Source organism: Homo sapiens, chromosome 4 (assembly GCF_000001405.40).
Source record: "Homo sapiens chromosome 4, GRCh38.p14 Primary Assembly".
Taxonomy (NCBI): domain Eukaryota; kingdom Metazoa; phylum Chordata; class Mammalia; order Primates; family Hominidae; genus Homo; species Homo sapiens.
The window spans coordinates 10005903-10022890 of NC_000004.12; the positions used below are offsets into that span (position 1 = coordinate 10005903).

A 16988-nucleotide genomic window follows, 5' to 3' on the forward strand; every position below is an offset into this window, starting at 1 on the left:
CTGCGCCTCAGGTTCCTCATCTGTTAAATCATTGCCCTCCTTGAAGAGTTACTGTGAAGATTTAATGAGAGAATGAAGATACAGCACAGTGCTGGGTCGATATGAAGTACACAATAAAAACCGGAAATTGGGGTGGTTGGTGGTAGTGTTGTTGATATTTTTACTGCTATATTTGTAAAATAAGGGGCCTAGGCTCATTTATTTGTCAGATTCAAGAATCCATGAATCACTTACCATTATCTCCCAGGCCAGGAACCTGGGGACCAAGCCTCTGGACATAAAATTGAACTCTGCAATTCCCAGCCAAGACTGGCTTAGAGCATCTCCAAATAATAAAAGAAATTGCCAGACAATGGGAGGCAAATTACCTCGTAGCCCGTTTAACAATATTAATGTGCCTTACTGATTCACACAGAGCCTCCCGTGAACTCACTTGGAACGATTCTCAGGAGTCCTGTAAAAATACACGGAAGTAACACTTGGTAGCTGGGCCAGAGTACACACACCATTGCATAAGAGAGGAAGTCATGCCACAATGCCTTAGGGCTTTATAAAGACAGTCTGCACCACTGAACACACTGGCACAGGGAAGAACGCAGTCCAGAAGTCCTTAAAAAAGTACCCATTGTTGAACCAGGCCCTCTGAAGTTAGGGCCCCACAAGAACAAAATTCCACAATCCCAGCAGTGCTACCTAATGTCGCCTGGCTCCCCGAGGTAAGGCCTCCTGTGTAGAAAAGAGCTCTCACAGCACGCCTGAGACTTCTCTTCCTAGAAAAGCCTGCTGCAGGGTAAGTCCCGGGCTTGCATCTGGGAACTTGGATGTTGGAAGGGTTGCCACCGTTCCCAGATCTGGTAAGAGTGACTCAGTGTACCTAAACTGTGCAAACAGTGTGGTTTATGCTGTCTCAGTGTGGTTTATATCTGCTTTCTTTCTGGGAATCTGGAATTTTCTGCTTGCCAAGCAGAGAGTGCCTATGTGACCACCCCCCGAGAAAAACCCTGGACTCCAAGTCTCTAATGAGTTTCCTTGTTAGACAAATTTCACAAGAGTTGTCACAACTCGTTGCTGTGGGGATGAAGCGCGTCCCGTGAGGCTCTGCTAGAAGAGTTCTTTGGAGCTTGCCCCTGGTTTCCTCTGGACTTCACCCCTGCACCTTTTTCCTTTGCTGACTTAGCATTGTGTTCCACCACTGTGATCAGTCATAGCTGTGAGTACTACCGCATTCCTGTGCCAACGCCTGTGACTCATGCCAGTGAATTATCCTACCTGAAGGTGGTGTTGGGTGACCCCAGTACACCTCCCTTGTCCTAAGGAAAAAACTCAGCTCCCATTTTGGCTTGACTTGAGCATTAGGTTTGCAGGTTTGTGGTGTTTTTTCCTCCTCCCCAAGTGATTCTCCCAGAGGAGCCTGGCTGACTCACTGGGAAAGAGGCTCCTGTGCCTCCAGACACCTGAGACTATTTTGTTCCCACAGTTAGCTTTCAGAATGAAATGAAACATGATGAAAGAGGAAACATCAATTACAAGCAACAGCCAGGCAAGTAAGGCTTTCAGAGCCTCCTGGGTTTCCCCTCAGCCACCTTTGCAGTGAGGGGGCAGCCAAATGCTTGGGTTTAATTAGTTGAAACATAAAGAAGGTAAGTTTCATTGTCTATTTGGCCCCAGGCAGAAGCAGAGAAGTGAATGCACTCCCAATATTATTCTTATTCAATCACAGTCCTGAGCCTTCCTCCTGCTGGAACATTCTTTTGAGAGGTTGCATAGCTGTGTTTACAGGGAACAGTGCATTTTCGCAGACTTGAGATGATATTTTGCTCTCCTTTTTGCATATCCTCCGGTTGGCCGGAATGAAAAGGGCAAATTGTTTTCATTACCAGTCAATTCACTTCTGGATGCTTGAGGTAGCAGGGGCCCCGTCTGCAACATCAATTCTGGAATAACTCATTTATAGAATGGGAATAAGAACCCCTAGCTTGTAGATGAGGCCGCCAGAAGGATGAAATGAGGTGTGTGAAGTCCCGAGCATGATGTCAGCATACAGCAGGTGCTCAATAAATTTCAGGGTCTTCCCCTATGGGTCAGAAATAGGGTGCTTCTAGTTTCACTTGTCTGGTTTGTTCACACCAGCTGTGCAACTCCAACACAGCCCTCCAAGTTTCCCTACCTCCCATCTTGCTGGATCAGCTATCCCCAGCTCTCTGGCTGCAGCAACCACTGCCCCCACTGCACTAAGCTGAGCTTCCTGGAGATTTGATGGGACCGAGTTCCTTTCCCCATTTGGCTCAACAAAGGCATTTTTCTTGGAGAAACTTTATGAAATGAGAAAATTCTATATCAAAGAGGCAGGCTGTCCAGCTCTAATCGCTGGGACCTCCAGGGCATGGTGCGGGGGGAGTTGGCACTCACAGCCTGGGACACCTGGACACCAACGCCCCAGGCTGGAAAAGGTCCCTGGGCCCTCATCAGTCAGCAGCTGTGCTGGCTCTGATCAAATCAAACCAAACCAAACAATGACTCACAGATCCCAATTTAAACAATGCAGCAGCATCTCATATTAGAGAAAAATTGGAAACAACCTCAGAGGCCCACATTAGGAAGATAGGACATCACAGGAGGCAGCTCCACACTGCTGTTAAACATCCTGGTGATGCAGAACTTCCAATAGCATAGAAAGGTGCTTACAAATAAATAGTAAGCCAAAAAAGAGAGTATTAAACAGTATATATGATGATCTTCAGAAAAAAGAGTGGATTTAGATGACACATTAAAAGCGGCCTCTGGATGGAGTCTGGGTTTTGACTGTGTTCAGGCCCAAGTGTACCATCTATTAGCTAGGTAGCCTTAGGCCAGTCACTCAATCTCTCCCTTATTTGTAATACAGGGTTATCAGCATAAATCTGCCATGTGGGGCTGGTATACAAATGAGAGAGATCATCTCTCACTCACAGAAGAATGTTTGTATGTGTAGCTTCATTATCAAATTTCTGTGCGGTGGTTTTTTTTTTTTTTTTTCCTAATGGAAGTCTGTTGCTTTTATAGTTACTGAGATAAAGTGAGACAAAAGCAAGAGTAAAACTGAAAAGAGCGGGGGGTGAGGGGACAAAACTCTGGGATTCAGAGATACCCATTTCATAGACATAATTGCCCGTTGTTTCTGCAGTGACACAATGCACAGGGTCCTCCTGTAATCTCAGCCCTCTTCCACCAAAGTCTTGAGCCCTGCTATGCCTCCCCCTCACCCCAACCAGAACTTATGTCGTTTGACACAGTCTCTGCTCATCATTCCCTCCTGGTTTCCTTGAGAATGGGTCTCAGGCCACACCAGAGGCACCTGCCAGGCGACATGCTTCTTTCTCTAAGAGCGCCTGGGTTCCCAGAGCAGCCTGCTAAGATGGCATTATGGGGTGGGATTAACTGAAAGCACCAGAACTTGCTTTTGGGTTCTCTCTCTGTTGGTTCACTTGAATCTTGTTTGATCAGGTTCTAACATCTGTGGCTAACTGGGCAGCTCTACCCTTATAGAGGGAAATGTTGATTTTGCTTTTTATTATCATTTGTTTATCTGCCTTTAGGGAAGGAGCAGACAGGAGAAAATAATAGAATATACCATTTATGCTGGGAAATGCATTGAGTCAACTTAATTGCTCTACAGAAACCCTGGGCTTAAATACTAACACCATGAAGGACAAGAGTCTGTGTCTCCCCTCCCAAGAAGACAAAACATGGCTAACTCAAAAACCACTGGAAAAGTGAGTAATTTCTTATCAAAGCCAAGCCATTCAGTATTATTTCTGTGGCTGCCAGTGTTGTTTCAAATAAGTCCTAATTTATATTGGATGGTGTGGGGCCAATGAGTTAGACTCCTAAAGTTAAGTTCTCATTCATTCTTTCTCACTCCTTCCTTCTCTCACTCACTAATTCATTTTACAAACATTTTTTGAGTATTTTCTGTTTATAATATGCATTTGTGTAATGTAAATCTTATATACACAGTAGACAACTGTATAATAAAGTTTGGCTGGCCTTTGTCCCTGGTTCTTGGGATGTAGCCTGTGAATTCTTGGGATTTCTTGAGTTATTCATGGCAGACCTCTCAGAATCCCTTGATAGTGTATGTTAACAAGATAACTCAGGATGGGGGTTGGCCATGCAAGAAAGACCAGCCATGTGATAGAGGGTTGGGGCTTTGAGCCAAGTGACATCAGCCCTACCTCCAGGGAAGAGAGGAGGACCAAAGATTGAGTTCAACCTTATGGCCAATGATTTGATCAATCACATCTACATGATGAAACCCCAATAAAAATTTGGAACACTGAAGCTTGGGTGAGCTTCCCTGGTAGACAACACTCTGTGGGAGGAGAGAGAACACCAGAGCTGGAATCCTTCCAGACCTTGCCCTGTGATCTCTTCTTGTGGCTTATTCTGATTCGTATCCTTTTTGCTATAATAAAGCTGTAATTCTAAGCATAGCACTTCCTGAGTTCTGTGAGTCATTTGAGCAAATTATCAAACCAGAAGGGGTAGTGAGAACCCCCAAATGTGTTACCATATGTTCACGGAACCCCTGAGCCTGTCGCTGGTGTCTGAAGTAAGGCCAGTCTTGTGAACGGCTGTGCTCTTAACCTGTGAAGTTTGGCCTAAATGGCTAGTTAGCATCAGGAGTCATGGCGAAGCTGTGTGCGAGGTACTTTGATAGACGCCAGGGAAACAAATGAACAGTATTGTTTTAGGTGACACTTTGATCTGTACAATCCTGACTGCTATACTTTTGCCAAGCCTCCAAGCATTTCCCCCAAGCTACAGGCCAGAAACTGCACAAACAGGCACCAAGTTCACTGTCTACCCTTTTGATTAGCCCTGAACTGTCCCGCCCACCTCACCTTCTGTTCCCCCAACCACTGCATTCCCTGTTTGCTTTCTAATTTTTATTTTCATTCATAACTCCTATTCAACACATTCATTATCTCAACTTTGGTCCTTTTTTCTTGGCGACTTTTCTTAATGTCCATCCCCCAGTGGTCGTTCTGCCTAGGCTGACTGTTCTCTTGGGCTCATTGCAATGTGGGATCCTCCTACAATCATAGGAAGTGCGTGAGTCCCAGGTCAGGAATCCATCCAGGTCCATCACCTCAATAGTTGCTTCTCATGGATCAGCTACTCTTGAACCCCTCACCCTTTGGCTTGTTTTTTGTCTTGGTTGGGCCCTTTTGGACTGAAGTCTGGGCTCCATACTGTCGGCCCTGCCACAGACCTTGCATTTCTTTAGAACATTGCTTCCAGAATCTTCCTGTAGGCTCTGTGGACAACACCCATGAGCAAGAGGAGCTTTGACTCATGCTTTGCCCAGGCACCACCATCCCACCCAGGCCTGTATCAGCCCTGTCTGCCCATTTCAGTCCCCAGAGAATGTCCCTTGGGGCTCAGAACCCCCCACTCCAGTCTGTGGGTCTCCATCCAGCCCTTAACAACCTCTCAGGTGGATTCTAGACACTGGGTGCTCACAGGTACCAAGAGGACATCTTTCAGCACAACTCTGGCAATCATCCCAGATGATTCTAGCAGTATAATGAAGCAGGTTCCAGGCACTGCAACATTTTCCTACTAAAGGTCAACGATTACAATGGCATAAATCTGAAGCCATTTTCAAGGATTCAGATTAGCACATTTGCATGCATGACTGTCTGAAAATTCAGGCTACATTTGATTGGTATGCAAATTAGCCCTAAATTTGGCAGTCTTTTACAATAACTTCAGGATGTTTTAGACAGACAGGTAAGTAAGTAGATGGATAGACAGAAAGATACAACTATGCCAATTGGAGCTAGTCACTGGAAACAGAAAGGACAAAGCCTAGACAATCAGCAATACATGAACAAAAGAAAGGAGATTAGAAAGCAAACATCTTCAGGAAGATTTAGGTGCTCCTATTTAGATGCTATGCAGCATAGGCTGTGGATTAATTATTCAGCCAGCCAGCCCTCTGCCCAGAGGTACTAATGACACAAGGAATCTACAAGAGCCTCCTCCCTTTTCTAAAACCTCTAGCACAGGGGTTAGCCAACAATTGGCCAGCAAGGGAAACCCTAGACCACCATCTGTTTCGTAAATAAAATGTTATTGGCACATACCCTCACCCATTCATTTACATATCATCTATAACTGCTTTATCTCTACATAGCAGAGTTCAGTAGTTGCAACAGAGACCATATGGCCAACAAAGAAAAACCACGCACTATCTGGACCTCCACAGAACATTTGCTGGACCTTCACAGAACGTTTGCTGATTCACAGAATGCAGCAGATCAGCCTAGTGGAACAGAAAGAAGGGATACTCAGGAATTAGACAGACCAGTGTCCAAGTCCCCATCTGTGAACATGGTGGAGGTGGTCCCAGAAGTTTTCCATAGGACAGACTCACAGCTGGCAATTTGTTTGAGAGTGAAGAGACCTAAGGACTTGCCTTGGACTCACTTTAAATTTAAATTTATCCATTTGCTCATTTAGCAAATATTTTTTATAAATGCTTACAATGTGTCAGACATTGTTCTAGGTGCTGGCACTGCAGAAGCAAGGACCTTTCTAAAGTGAAGGGAAGGAGGACAAGAAGTAAAGGAATATGTCATATCTCAGGTAGTGTTAAATACCATGAGGAGAAATAAATTCGGTGAGGGCTAAAGCGTGATGGAGGGGTGCCATTTTGGATAGGCTGGTCAGGGAAGACATTTCTGAGGAGGGGACGTCTGAGCAGAGGCAAGAAGTAATCAAAGGAGAGTGCACAGGAAAATCAAGGGAAGAGCACTGCAGCCAGCAGGAGCAGCACGCACAAAGGCTCTGAGGTTCCAGCGTGCGGTGTGTTTGAGGGGCAGCAAGTGGGGAGAAGTTTGTGTAAATGGAGAAGAGGGAGTGAGGGGGGAAATGATGATGACAGAGTGGTCACATCTGTCATGTGTCATGTGTCACGGCCCCAGGTACCGTGTAAGTCACCACAGTCTGGCTTGCTTTCTAGATATAGTGGGTTTTGAGCGGAGGGACAATATGATCTTGCTTCATTTGTCAAGGATCCCTTTGGCCTTTGGGTGGAGACTAAACTGTAGGAACCAGAGTGGAAACAGAGAAACCAGTTAGGGTTTAGTGTAGAGAATGAATAGAGCCTAGCTACTGTGGTGTTCATCTTGGTGATCAACGCACCAGCACAGCACAGATAACCCTGATTTTCAACAGCTAAGGACAATAAGAACCTCTTGCCAGTTCATGCAAAGTCCAGTGTGCGTTTAATAGTTCTCTGCCATCTGGGGGAAGAAAGGACTGAAGATCTTTCTTCAGTGCTGCCATAACCAGGGATGCTGCCATAAACCAGGCCTCATGTGGCCTATCAGCACCTCTGTTCACATCCCATCCACCAAGCTGGCCAAGGACCCTTGTGGATGCACGAGGTGCAGGTGTTCTCTTCCAAATGAGGCATGAAAAGTAGTCAGATCCTGGGGATTCTTGGAAAGTTGGGTGGCCAGGAGGCACATCCAGGTGACTGTGTTGAGGAGAAGCCAGTGGGAATGTTTAGGAAGTGTCCCACCCCTGAAACTTGGATGTATTGGGTTCCCTCAGCCTCAGTTTCCTCGCCTTTAAAAGGGGGTTAGTGATAGCTGCCTTGCAATATTATAACAAGGATCCAGTGTGCACACAATTCTGAACCTGGGTCAAGTGCAGAGCTGGTGCCCAGAGGCGAGTTATTTTCATTTTCGGCATTACAGAAAGTTTCCAAATATCTGAGGAGAGAGGAGCACTGAGCGTTTTTAAGGTTGAGGCTGGGTGGCAGCAGGGCCAACGGCAGCTACTGCATGGATTGTTCTAACAGTGCAAGCTGCCTGCCCTGAAGGTAAATGCCCACTGCCTGGAGTCTGTGCCCCGATCACCTGGGCCCCCAGTTATCTAACAGCTGGAAAGGCGAAGCTGGCTGGGCCGAGGACTTACAAGCCTGGGCCAGTGCTAAAGGCAGCACACCTTCCCATGGGGCAGCATCCACACACCACCCCCTGGTGGCAGCCTTTGTTCATCATCTCTGTGAGCAGATACCCTCCCCGCACTCCAAAGCAGCACTAATATCTGCACCTCTTCTGTTCCAAGGGTTTCTTTCTCCTTCTCGAGAGCCCAGCACCCCAGGTGAAGCCTAGCTCTCACACCCTAAACCCCTGCCAGGCTTGGGTCCTTCCAGCCTGTGTTAGATTCCATTCCTTAGAGGCTCTGCTCTGTTCCTGGTCTCCCTGGTTCTGGGGCTGCCTCACTCACCCGTTTCTAAGCCCACTGCAAGGAGAAGAGAGAATTCGAGGTGATCGCTGGACGCTGGGCTGAGCTCCTCCAGCATCACATCTCCTTTCATTTCGCAGCGACCTCACAAGGGGCTCGACACCAGCCCTTTACAGAGGCACCTACATGGTGCCTGGGATTCTCTGCAGGATTCTGAGCTGGGATTCTGTGCAGGCCTGCTCAGCTCACACTCAGGGCAGTTTCCACCTCGGAAGGGCCTCCCAGGGCGAGCCTTGGCCCTCAGCCTGCTCATAGCCTGGGTGGTGCTGGATCATGCTCCTGTTCTGGCCTCTGCAACCTTTCTGATCTGGCTTCAGCTCCCCTTTCCAGCCTCTACCTCTCCACCCCACTGGACCCCACATCCAGCTACCCTTAGGTCTCCACCATTCCCAGAAAGCCTTGAGCTCTCTCTTTCAAGCCCCAGTGAGGCCCCACTGACCTCCCCAGGTAGAATACAGTCCTTCAGCTGTCCTGTGGCTCCATGCAGCCTGTCTCACTGGTGATTATTTATTGAGCCTCTGTCACTGCTGCTGGTCTTGGGGCACCTCGAGGACATGGATGTGTGTCGTTTTCATCTTTCTACCCCAGATACAGCAAGGTCAACACCCAGGGAAGGGCACTGAAGGATTGCCTGAACAGCTACCCCTCTCTTCTCACAAAGCAGCACAAGTAAACATAAAACATCAGGACCTTTAGGCAGAGCAGGAAGAGGTTACATGACCCCAAACCCCATAGGGAGGGGAAGAGTTTGGGGAATGATTCTAGCTAATAATAAAGCTGTCTTCGGTTTCTCAGTTAGATCAGGTCCTTTATGAGAATTGCTCTATGAGAACCCCGAGGGAGGGAGGGGTTGGGACAGGATTCAGACAATCACAGGTGCCTGCTTGTAACACGATGGCAGCATCATCCACCTTATGCTTGAGCCCCTAGGGTTGTTGCAGTGAAACCTTGCTCTGTCTTTTGGTTGGTAGATGGACAGGTAAGTAGCCCTGGGCTTGCTGTGGCTCCTCCCATCTCCCCTTGTTCCTCTTTGCCTTTATTGATCATGCCAAACTCCCCCCATGGCTGGACTGTTGGCGCCTGCCATTAGTGGTCAGGGGCAGGAAGGAGGGGCAGAGAGCATGGCACGGATCTTGGATTCAGACAGACCTGGGTTTGAATTCCAACACTGCCACCTCCTGGCTGTGTGAACCTGGGCAAGTTGCTTAAACTGAGCTTCTGTTTCTTTGTTCATGAAATGAAGGTAACATCAGTAATTAACTACCTTGACCTGAATTGTGTCCCCTCCAAAAATGTTGCATGACATTTTTGTTGCAAGGATAGGGCATGTTGAAGCCCTAACCCCGATGTGATGGTATTTGGAGATGAGGCCTTTGGGAGGTTACTGGGGTTAGCAGAGGTCATGGGGGCGGCCTCATGGTGGGATGAGTATCTTGCTCCCTTGCACTCTTCCTCCCTCTGCCATGTACAGGCAGTGAGAAAGAGGCCGTCTGCAAGCCAGAAGGAAGGTCCTTGCCAGACAACGAATCCACCGGCACTTTGATTTTGGATTTCCAGGTTGGAGAAGTATGGGAAAATAAATGTCTTGCTGAAGACCCCAGGCTGTGCTGTTTTGTTACAGCCAAAGACACTGACGTCTCTGTATTTCTGAGAATGGAATGCGCCTGGCATGCAGTACATTTTGGCAGAGTTGATGAGCTGGCCATCACAGTCTCTGCTCCTCTTCAAAGGCAGAGAGCACATGCTGGGAAGTAGCTACCCAACTGGGGATGACACTTCCCAGGCCGTGGATCTGGGCAGATGGCTCAGTCCTGGACTCAAGGCCTCCTCGGGGTGCTTGCTCTGGGCTCCTCTAAAGTATGCATGACGAGCCGTGGTCTCGAGGTTCAAAGGACACCAGGCTAAAAAGCGCCTTGTGATGTCTCAAGACTGAACACCTTGCTGCGCATACTGGCCACAGAGGTAGAGCTCCGATATCCCAAACAAGAAGTCCCATGGCCTAACACTGCCTGGCACAGAAAGGATCTGTTTTAAAAATGACTGAAAATGTGTCTGATGCCTGGGAAACCAGAAGCCCGCCCAGGGCCAAACTCTGGCTCCACTCATTATGTGACTGTGGGAAAGTCAGTGAACAGTGTGCCTCAGTTTCGTCATCTGTAAAATGGGGATAATGATGATCCATACCTCACAGGGCTGTCATGAGGGTGCACTGAGCTGATTAACGCATGAAAAGTACATGGAGGAGGGCCGGCACCTCATGAGGGCTTTTTCCATCTGTGCTCTTACTGATGCTGCCATAATATGTGTCACTCATCTTAAGAACGGTAAAGGCCACCCTGGCTGTGTAGATCTTCAGAAATCTCCTTTCCCGAAACGGAGGGAGGGCACGTTAAACTCTCTCTGTTTGGCTTACCATGGTCTTTCCCATTAAATACCTCTAAGCTCTGGCCCCTCCTGTCCTTCTCACTGACACCAAAGTTGTTTTTCTAAAAAACAGTGAGCATATTAAATAAGTAAATAAATAAGGAGGCACGTGTTCTCAGGACCTCCTGAGGGTGTGTCATGGTTAAAGAAAAATAAATTTTAATTAAAAAAATGTGAGTTGCAAACCCCCACCCCCATGAATCTGCCATGGCTCCCTACTGCCCAAGACTAAAATCCTACTCCTCAGCCTAAGATCTTAGGCCCTCTTCTTTTGACTCCATCCTGCTTTTCCACCTCTTCTTTCATCCCAGCTCTGCATTCCCCCTAGGTACTGGCACATCACACGCTACTAACTTCCTAATATGCCACCATGTGGGCACAGCCAGGCCTCTGTGTGTGTGCTTCAGCTCCCCACCTCCCTTTGACACCTGTGGAAATTCTACACATCCCTCATGACTCAGCTCAAATACCACCTCCTCCAGGCTGTCTTCCCTGATCCCCAGAGTTGGATACATTATAAACTCTCAACAATGCTTGCTGAATGAATAAGTGAGTAATGGGATTCCTCCGTCCTCATGTTCCCATAGTCAGTGCTTGAACCCATATCATTCTATCCCAGGTGTAAGTTTCACATAACTCTGCTCCACAAGCCATGAGTGCAAAGGTTCTCCCCCACCTCTCACCTGGATGTTTTGATGAACTTTCAAGATGAAGCAAGAGTCCAAATTCCTAGCCCTCTTTCAAAGACAAATATCGACAAGCCAGATCCCCATCTTGGAATGACGTCACAATGACAAAATCAAAGATCACTGACTGTTGGCAGTGCTTACTGAAGCCATCTAGGCCCCCTGGTTTTCAAACAGTTTTTAGCAACAGAAATGAACAATGTCAAATAATTAACAGACTTTTTAAACATAGAACTGACCTGCGCAAATAGTGCTTAGATCCGTGAGGCACCTCTGCAAAATTCCAGGGCTCATGGGAACCTTTGAAACTCACTGACCCAGGCTTCCCCTATGTTTTGTACACAAGGATGCTGGACTCCCAAGCAAGGAAAAGCCTGGAAGGCACCCAGGGCTGTCCTCAGCCTGCTTCCTGTCTGCCCCCAAAACAGCTTGTGCTCCAAGAACCTGGAGCTCCCCGCATTTCCCCAGATGTGTCCTACATCCGTGTCCCCAAAACGGCCTGTGCTCCAAGAACCTGGAGCTCCCCGCATTTCCCCAGATGTGTCCTATATCCGTGTCTCCAAAACGGCCTGTGCTCCAAGAACCTGGAGCTCCCCGCATTTCCCCAGATGTGTCCTACATCCCGGCCCCCCATCCATCACTCCACCTTCCAAACTTAGTCAGGCATCACTTCCTGCAGGAAAGCTTCCCTCAAGCCTCCAACCTGCCCTTGCCTGTGGGTGGTGGTAGGTCAAAGCCAAAGCCAGCACCCACAGGATAGCATCTAAACCTTACAGCCTAGGTAGGCAGTACCCAACCTTTAACTGCAAACCAGAGGCACAATGTGAAGAGGGCCTGGGAGAATTGCACCTGGATCTGATTTCAGAGTAAAACACAAGCCAAAGATGGGTCTTATCCAGCAGATACCTGAGTGGCCTCTGGTTGTAATTTAAAGTCAACAACACCAGGCCGGGCACAGTGGCTCAAGCCTATAATCCCAGCACTTTGGGAGGCCAAGGTGGGCGGATCGCTTGAGGCTGGGAGTTCCAGACCAGCCTAGCCAATATGGCGGAACACCACCTCTACAAATACAAAAATTAGTCGGGTGTGGTGGTGCATGCCTGTAGCCCCAGTTACTCGGGAGGCTGAGGCAGAAGAATCACTTGAACGTGGGAGGCGGCGGTTGCAGTGAGCCGAGATCGCACCACTGCACTCCAGCCTGGTGACAGAGTGAGACTCCATCTCAAAGATGATAGATAGATAGATAGATAGATAGATAGATAGATAGATAGATAACAACAACAACAAAACAAATCAAGAAAATGTCCAAGTTTCCATGCATAAGGCCCCTCCTGGTTCTTTCCCCGGCATTAGGGGCCAGAGGATCGCCCCCCACCCCACCCCGGGACTTCCGAAGCCCCCTCTCATCTAGTCTCCCAACGTTCTCCCAGGACACCCGCCCTCCAGCCGCAAGAACTGTCATCCCCCGCCCCTGTCCCCGTGTCATCATTGTCTGTCTCTGTGCCTCCCCTCTCCCCCGAGTGGGGGCTAATCTCTGTCCCCGCGGTGTCCCGCGCCGCGAGCGCAACAGGAGGGGGCGCTGGAGCCCAGGGCCCTTGCGCACCCGAAGGTTTCCGCAGGGCCGCAGCGCCCTCTGCCGGGCCTTGGCGCGCACTCACCGGGGTGGGGGCATTCACCACCGACAGGTTGTAGCCGTAGAGGAAGGAGGAGCCGAAGGCGCCCGCGAGGGAGGCCACGAGGAGCGAGCAGGACCAGTCCTGAGGGGAGAGGAAACCACGTCAGAGCCGGCACCGGGCGCGCAGCCAGGGCCGAGGGAAGACCTGGAACGTTCCCTCAGCTGGGGGAGGCCTTCCGGAGGAGAAGTCTTTGTCCTTGGCTGGGGTAGAGACAGAGAGAAGAGACGCAAGTTGGGGACCTGCAAGTAGGGTTCCAGTCCAGGTCCGCGTGCGCAGGCCGGGCGCCCTCAGGTTTAGCGGCCACGCCCTTGCGTTCCTTCCGGGTTGCGTGAGGATTCCTGAAACGCAGTTTTCAGCAGCTGCTCTGGGCAGCTCCACACGATCCTTTCAGCGAAGTTGGCGAGTGTCCGACCCAGACAGAAAAAAGCAAAGCCAGACTCCAAGCGCTATCAGCCAGGCGTGATTCTAAGCACTTTTCTGCGCATTGTCTCTGAGTCCTTAGATCAGTGCTGTTATGTCCTGTATTACAGGTGAGGAAAGAGGGGCAGGGAGCGTGGCTGGTGCTGTCTAGGATGGGGACTGAAGTCCAGGTGGCCTGGCTGCAGTGCCCCTCTAGTCACCACTGCACTGTCCCCTGCTGACCCGTCACCTGAGTGCCGTTGTCCAAGGGCCTGAGACTGCCGACAGCCAGACAGATGTGCACACACGCTTACATGCACATACTGTTCCAGTCTGAGGCGTCAAACTACAGGGGCTGGTCCAAGCCTCAGGACAAGGACCTGCAGACGTAGAGATGCAAGGTTTGGCACAGAGAACAGGGCGCCTGCCTTGGTGTTGTCCTGCCCTGCAGCCCCATCTAAGGACAGCCACCACCAGTACAGGGCCATAGGGCAGAAACACCTGGATCCCTGGCAAAGGCTGACAAGCTGGCATGAGCCAGGGCAGGAGGGATGGCTGTCCTCAGCTGGTCAGGGAATACAGGCCAAGTGGACAGGGGCCAGGTGCTCCGGAAGGCACCTTCTTTGCCATCATTTGACATATTTGTGAGTGTGTGTGTGTGTGTGTGTGTGTGTGTGTGTGTTGTAGGCGCCAGGCCCTGACAAAGCTGTGGGGGTGCAACAGTGAAGAAGACATATGGATCCATGGTTCAGGGACCCATATCAGTCAAATCCCGTCTGGAAGGGAATGCGGGTCTCTTGATGGCCACTTACCTGCTCTGCCAGTCTCGTTTGTCTCCTCTAGTGCCACCAGCCACGAGATAGAGCTTTGGGGCTTTGAGCCAAGTGATATCAGCTTTACCTCCAGGGCCAGTCCCCTCAGCTGTAGGAGTCTGAGCAAGTGACTTGACTTTTCTGGGGCTCAGCTTGCCCACCTGTGAAATGGGATCTTAATAGCAGCACTGGCCACATATGTTGTTGAGGAGCCTGCTGCAGAGGAGGTGCTCCGTAGAGGCTGCTGATCACATGCGGGGGCAAGAGGGAACATTTATAAGCCTTGGGGATGGGTGCTGCCAATTGAAATGTAGTACCAGAATATTTTTCTGCAGTGAGAGGAGCTTGAGCTGAATGGGGATCCCTGATGGAACAGAATCACATTTCAGATGAAACGCCTGTTCTCTATCACTCTTTCTCTTTAAACCTATCCTCTGAGTCTCGGCACAGATACCACTTCTTCTGAGCCCCTGGGCTGTGCTGGGCATCGTTTCTGTGCTCTGTGCCTTCTTTGCTCCCAGCCCCGATGACCTTAGAGGACACAAACTCCTCCCTGGTCTGCACCCCATCAGATTGGGAGCACCTGGTGTGAAGTGCCCCTGCCAGAGGCTGGTGAAGGGCAGGTGGGGGCCATCTTCTCCTGCCTCAGCTGTGCTCCCCGGAGCCCCCTGCCTGTGTGGCCCGCCTGTGCCCTCCACCCGCTCCCCACTCACTGCACGGGCAGAGGGTGCCCACTGACCGACGGTGCTGCTGCCCGTGCCATGCCCTGGGGAGGGTGAGAAGAGGGACACCACCATGCAAGTGCGGGGCAGGGCAGCCTGCCACCATAGCCTCATTCCATGTACACACCCAGTCTACCAGAGACGCTGTTGGCCCAGTCAGCTGGGGCTTGGAGAGAGCATGCCAAAGTCACACAGATGGAGAAGTGCAACTCAAACTGAGGCCTCCCTGCCTCAAAGCCCCAGATCCCCCAGCTACACGCTGCCAGGCTGGGGCTGAGCACTGTCACACGGCTGCCACCCAGGCCTGCCTTCCCCACAGCCCGCCAGCCATGCAGAAAAGCTGTCCGTAGTTACCTTTCTTCTCCTTCCACCTGGCACCCCACTCCTCAGGTGGTCACACTCCAGCAGTGCCCTCCCTGGCCCTGGAGGCCCGGCGTGGCTGGTGTCATCTGTGAGGGGAACTAGGCCCAGTTCCTTGGAATTCCTATTTTGTTTCCTTGCCATGGGTCTCAGTGACCCAGCTGATGGCTCAGTCCAGGGACCCCAGACTCTGCCAAGGCATTTCCGTGAGTGAGGAGGCAGAGTCCACTGGAAGGAGGGCGGGAGTTCCTGACAGGAAGTGTGGCAATTTGATCATGCCTGAACAGGCAACGGGGCAACATTTTTTTCTCTGCTCCTAAGTTATTACAGCAATGAAACAGTCCAAAAAGGGAAATCTGTCCTCTCCAGGATTGCCACCCAGGGGGTGGAATTTTTTTTTTTTTTCTTAGCATCTTTTTATTTTTCTCTGGTAACAAAGCCTGGAGCAGGGTGACTGCCATTAACCTAGGATACCTCCCTAATGCTTGGAACAGAATGGAGAGGTGGCTGACTTTGACTCAGAAGCCTGCATACAGCTCTGCCCCTGACTCTTCCACTTTTTTTTTTTTTTTTTGACCGAATCTTGCTCTGTTGCCCGGGCTGGAGTGCACTGATGCAATCTCTGCTCACTGCAACCTCCGCACCTGGGTTCAAGCAATTCTCCTGCCTCAGCCTCCCAAGTAGCTGGAACTATAGGCGTGTGCCACCACGCCTGGCTGATTTTTGTATTTTTAGTAGAGACTGTGTTTCACCATGTTGGCCAGGCTGGTCTTGACCTCCTTACCTCAGGTGATCTGCCCACCTCAGCCTCCCAAAGTGCTGGAATTAGAGGCGTAAGCCACCATGTCTGGCCAACTCCTCCACTTTTTAACTGTGTGTCCTCAGGCAAGTCACTTTATTCTCTGAGCTGCAACTTCTACCACTGCAAAATGGAATATTGACCCCACTCTGACTGTCCTGCAGACTTATTCTGAAGCTCAAATAGAAAACAGCCAGCCCCAAGTGGCGTGCTGTAAATGAGTGTGGGCTCTCCTGTAGCCTAGAACAAAGGCGAGGGCTGTGGGTTTGGAAGAAAAAGAATTTGCCTCTTAGTCGTTACTCTGTCCTGCTCATTCAGCACTGGCTGAGGGGACATGTCCTGTATTCCAGCCCCAGGCTGGCTCAAGGACAGTACTGAGAAGGCAAGGGCCTCATGCACACCAGGAGGTTGTGGGAATCAGTTCATCACATGGCCATGTTGCCTCAGACGCCAGAGAAGCACCTTCAATTTTGGCTAGAACAGTTTGCTCCCAGAAGCAGAGAGCAGTGCAGAGTCTGGGCCAGAGCCAGGGACAGGCTTGGTGAATGCAGAACGTCCAGGAGGCAAGGTAGGGCTCAGTCCACAAAAGAGAGATCGAAAAGTTAGCAAAGTACGTTTAGTAAAAAGCACACAATAAAATAAAAGGTGTGGAGTACGGCAGACATTCCAGGAACCTGGAATGTGAAACGCACGTGGAAACGTCCGGCCCTGACATGCACGGTGGTGGGAATGTGGCTGCTCAAAGCAAGTGGGGAATCAAGACTTCCAAAGAGGAAAACCACCCTCAGGAGTTAGGTTGGGGATGT

General features: G+C 50.0%; 1 protein-coding gene and 1 long non-coding RNA gene across 26 annotated transcripts in view, besides 9 other annotated features; one reads left to right on the forward strand and one right to left on the reverse strand.

The window, feature by feature from the left end:
- The window catches only part of SLC2A9 (solute carrier family 2 member 9), a 269246-nt gene that overhangs the window by 234878 nt on the left and 17380 nt on the right, over positions 1-16988 (reverse strand). For 14 of the 23 annotated variants that reach the window (XM_011513856.4, XM_017008457.3, XM_047415974.1 and 11 more), the window contains exons 1-2: positions 15378-15595; positions 13073-13171 (exon numbers count right to left, since the gene is read on the reverse strand). In XM_011513856.4, the coding sequence (XP_011512158.1) occupies positions 13073-13171; positions 15378-15527 (249 nt within the window). In that variant the 5' untranslated portion in view covers positions 15528-15595. The other 9 variants (XM_011513858.2, XM_047415973.1, NM_001001290.2 and 6 more) reach the window with 5 other exon arrangements.
- Positions 33-1232: an enhancer, noted in NCBI's record as "BRD4-independent group 4 enhancer chr4:10007559-10008758 (GRCh37/hg19 assembly coordinates)". NCBI's record gives its function as "activates an origin of replication core promoter dependent on BRD2, P300/CBP, MED14 and CDK7 cofactors, and independent of BRD4, by STARR-seq in HCT116 cells {active_cell/tissue: HCT116}" and the evidence as "EXISTENCE:reporter gene assay evidence [ECO:0000049][PMID:35650434]".
- Positions 33-1441: a biological region, named in NCBI's record as "BRD4-independent group 4 enhancer GRCh37_chr4:10007559-10008758".
- LOC124900664 (uncharacterized) lies at positions 578-10751 on the forward strand. 3 transcript variants are annotated; one of them, XR_007058024.1, is made up of 2 exons: positions 578-790; positions 3576-10751. It is a non-coding gene; the product is annotated as an uncharacterized LOC124900664 (long non-coding RNA). The 3 variants fall into 3 exon arrangements; XR_007058026.1 differs by having other exon boundaries at positions 3656-10751; XR_007058025.1 differs by having other exon boundaries at positions 578-716.
- Positions 1092-1441: an enhancer, noted in NCBI's record as "active region_21305". NCBI's record gives its function as "activates an Ori minimal core promoter by ATAC-STARR-seq in GM12878 lymphoblastoid cells {active_cell/tissue: GM12878}" and the evidence as "EXISTENCE:reporter gene assay evidence [ECO:0000049][PMID:35858748]".
- Positions 1722-1771: an enhancer, noted in NCBI's record as "active region_21306". NCBI's record gives its function as "activates an Ori minimal core promoter by ATAC-STARR-seq in GM12878 lymphoblastoid cells {active_cell/tissue: GM12878}" and the evidence as "EXISTENCE:reporter gene assay evidence [ECO:0000049][PMID:35858748]".
- Positions 6123-6417: a silencer, noted in NCBI's record as "tiled region #5160; HepG2 Repressive non-DNase unmatched - State 14:Gen5'". NCBI's record gives its function as "represses a minimal TATA promoter and a strong SV40 promoter by Sharpr-MPRA in HepG2 cells {active_cell/tissue: HepG2}" and the evidence as "EXISTENCE:reporter gene assay evidence [ECO:0000049][PMID:27701403]".
- Positions 7936-7995: a silencer, noted in NCBI's record as "silent region_15274". NCBI's record gives its function as "represses an Ori minimal core promoter by ATAC-STARR-seq in GM12878 lymphoblastoid cells {active_cell/tissue: GM12878}" and the evidence as "EXISTENCE:reporter gene assay evidence [ECO:0000049][PMID:35858748]".
- Positions 9245-9344: an enhancer, noted in NCBI's record as "active region_21307". NCBI's record gives its function as "activates an Ori minimal core promoter by ATAC-STARR-seq in GM12878 lymphoblastoid cells {active_cell/tissue: GM12878}" and the evidence as "EXISTENCE:reporter gene assay evidence [ECO:0000049][PMID:35858748]".
- Positions 12904-13063: a silencer, noted in NCBI's record as "silent region_15275". NCBI's record gives its function as "represses an Ori minimal core promoter by ATAC-STARR-seq in GM12878 lymphoblastoid cells {active_cell/tissue: GM12878}" and the evidence as "EXISTENCE:reporter gene assay evidence [ECO:0000049][PMID:35858748]".
- Positions 15077-15576: an enhancer, noted in NCBI's record as "H3K4me1 hESC enhancer chr4:10022603-10023102 (GRCh37/hg19 assembly coordinates)". NCBI's record gives its function as "activates a minimal SCP1, AML or CMV promoter by ChIP-STARR-seq in primed H9 embryonic stem cells {active_cell/tissue: H9 hESC(primed)}" and the evidence as "EXISTENCE:reporter gene assay evidence [ECO:0000049][PMID:30033119]".